Below are 3,159 nucleotides of genomic sequence, written 5' to 3' on the forward strand. Positions count from 1 at the left end.
AATAGGCACTCATAAAGAATATGGTGAATTAGGACCGTATTGTGCAAAACTTCTAGAGACACAACTCACATTGATGGCAAGAGAAATTCAACACAAAAACTCTAGGTTAAATTGAATTTTAGAACTAAGTGTCATCAATGAGGAACACCTGACAGCTATGAACATAAACCCAGATTGGACTGATAAATAATTGAGAAGTGAAATTCTATTGTGCCAAATCACACAAATCCTGAGATTTATTTGACACAGCACTTAGTTTTATGTTAACTTCCACAGAATAACATATTTATTTTGTATTCATCTTGAGAGTAAAATCTATGAGTTTCAGTAAAACTTTACTCAGAAAACCTACAGCTACTATTTGTTAGAAAACAAGAAACACTGAAAATAGATGAGGAAATGACTAAAGCATTCATTAACAAAAGATAGAAAACAGAACAAAAAATAAACCATTATAAATTGGAAGGAAATAATAAATATGGAAACAGATGAAACAGAAAATAAATGCGTATTATTCATCATCAATGATATCATAGCGATTATAAAATAGTTTTACTTTTAAAACTGTAGTAAAATATACATGACATAATATTCACCATTATAACCATTTTAAGTATACAGTTTTGTGGCATGAAGTGCATTTGCATTGTGATTAATGCTCAATAAACTTGGGTGTATTTACGTGTCCAGAATTGGTGGGTTCTTGGTCTCCCTGACTTCAAGAATGAAGCCGTGGACCCTCGCGGTGAGTGTTACAGTTCTTAAAGATGGTGTGTCCAGAGTTTGTTCCTTCTGATGTTCGGACATGTCTGCAGTTTCTTCCTTCTGGTGGGTTCGTGGTCTCGCTGGCTTCAGGAGTGAAGCTGTAGACCTTCCTGGTGAGTGTTACAGCTCTTAAAGGCAGTGTGTCCAGAGTTGTTTGTTCCTCCTGGTGAATTTGTGGTCTCGCTGACTTCAGGAGTGAAGCTGCAGACCTTCGCAGTGAGTGTTACAGCTCATAAACGCAGTGAGGACCCAGAGTGAGCAGCAGCAAGATTTATTGCAAAAAGCGAAAGAACAAAGCTTCCACCGCATGGAAGGGGGCCCAAGCCAGTTGCCACTGCTGGCTCGGGTGGCCTGCTTTTATTCCCTTATCTGGCCCCACCCACATCCTGCTGATTGGTCCATTTTTCAGAGAGCTGATTGGTCTGTTTTACACAGAGCTGCTTGGTCCCTTTTGACAAAGTGCTGACTGGTGCGTTTACAATCCTTTAGCTAGACACAAAAGTTATCCAAGTCCCCACCCGATTAGCTAGACACAGAGCACTGATTGGTGTGTTTACAAACGTTTAGCTAGACACAGAGTGCTGATGGGTGCATTTACAATCCTTTAGCTAGGCAGAAAAGTTCTCCAAGTCCCCACCTGTCCCAGAAGCCCAGCCAGCTTCACCTCTCACTGGCACTCCCCACAGGACTTTGCCGCACCCAGCCCAGGCACTCCAGCAGCCCAGAGGGAGCTCGTCCCAGACAATCAAGAGGAAATGAGGGGAAGCCAGAAAGAGAAAGAGAGGGAGGAGACCTGCTATCGTGGCCAAGGATCCCACGAAGAGGGAACGGTGGTCCACGCATGGGATTCAGCCTCCGATCAAGCCCAGCAGGCGCCAGCCAGCCACGTCAAGTGCGGAGCTTGCCGAGCCCACACTCACCTGGAACCCGTGCCAGCCCACGAGCGCTGCACGCAGCCCCGGTTCCTGTCCACACCTCTCTCTTCACACTTCCCCAAGAGCAGAGGGAGCCAGCTCTGGCCTCGGCCAGCCCCAGAGAGGGGCCCTCATAGCACAGCCGGGCTGAAGGGCTCCTCCAGCATGGCCAGAGTGGACGCAGAGGCCAAGGAGGTGCTGAGAGGGAGCGAGGGCTGCTAGCACGTTGTCACCTCTCATTTATATCTCTTTGACATACTGAATTTAATTCCAGAAGATATCTATCAAGAAGATTGTTAGATTATATGAAAATTTTAATTTTAGTTTTCTGAAGAAACTCTATGCTGTTTCCATAATGGCTGTATTAATTTACATACCCAGTAACAGTGTAGATATGTTCCCTTTTCTCCACAACCTTGCCAACACTTATCTTTCATCCTTTTTATAAAAGTCATTTCATCCAGCATGAGGTTATATTTCACTGTGGTTCTAATTTTCATTTGCCTGATGATCAGTGATGTTGAGTATTTTTTTATATACCTGTTGGCCATTTGTATTTGTTCTTTTGAGAAATGTCTATTCAGGTCCTTTGCTCAATTTTTAATTGGGATATTTGTTTACTTGCTATTGAGTTGTTTGAGTTTCTCATATATTTTGAATAACAGCCCATCATCAAATGTTTGATTTGCAACTAATTTCTCACAATACGAGTGTTTTCTCTTCTCTTTGTTAATTGTTCCCTCTGCTGTGCAGAAACTTTTTAGTTTTATGTGGTCCTATTTGTTTATTTTTGCTTTTGTTGCCTGTACTTTTGAGGTCATATCCAAAATATCATTGTCCAGACCATTGTTGTGGAGTATTTCCCTGTTTTCTTCTAGTAATTTCACAGTTTCAAGTTTTATGCTTCCATCTTTAGTTCATTTTGAGTTGAATTTCATACATGGTATGAGATAAGGGCTATCCAGTTTTCCCAACACCATTTATTGAAGTGACTTTATTTTCTCTATTGTGTGTCCTTTGCACCTTTGTTGAAAGTCAATTAACCATAAATGTGTGGGTTTATTACCAGGCTCTCCATCCAGCTCTATTGCTCAACATGTTTGTTTTTATGCCTTTGTCATGCCTATTGAATTAGTATAGCTTTGTAATATAGTTTGAAGTCAGGTAGTATAATGTCTCCAGCTTTGTTATTTTTGCTCAAGATAGCTTTGGCTATTCAGGGTCTTTTGGAATTTCATTTAAATTATCATTTTTGTTTTTTCTATTTTTGTAAAAAATGACATTAGAATTTTGATAAGGTTTGCACTGAATCCATAGATTGCTTTGGGTAATATGGATATTTCAACAATATTAATTCTTTCAATCCATGAACATGGTTTATTTGTCCATTTATTTGTGATTTTTTTCAAGTTCTCCCATTAATGTTTTACACTTTTTAGTATACAGATCTTTCACCTCCTTGGTGAAATGTACCTCTATG

The 3,159-nt window shown here is 40.3% G+C and overlaps 1 annotated feature.

The window, feature by feature from the left end:
* Positions 1,087-1,287: a silencer, noted in NCBI's record as "peak7420 fragment used in MPRA reporter construct". NCBI's record gives its function as "represses an SCP1 promoter by STARR-seq MPRAs in K562 erythroleukemia cells {active_cell/tissue: K562}" and the evidence as "EXISTENCE:reporter gene assay evidence [ECO:0000049][PMID:32103011]".

This window comes from Homo sapiens, chromosome X (assembly GCF_000001405.40).
Source record: "Homo sapiens chromosome X, GRCh38.p14 Primary Assembly".
NCBI lineage: Eukaryota > Metazoa > Chordata > Mammalia > Primates > Hominidae > Homo > Homo sapiens.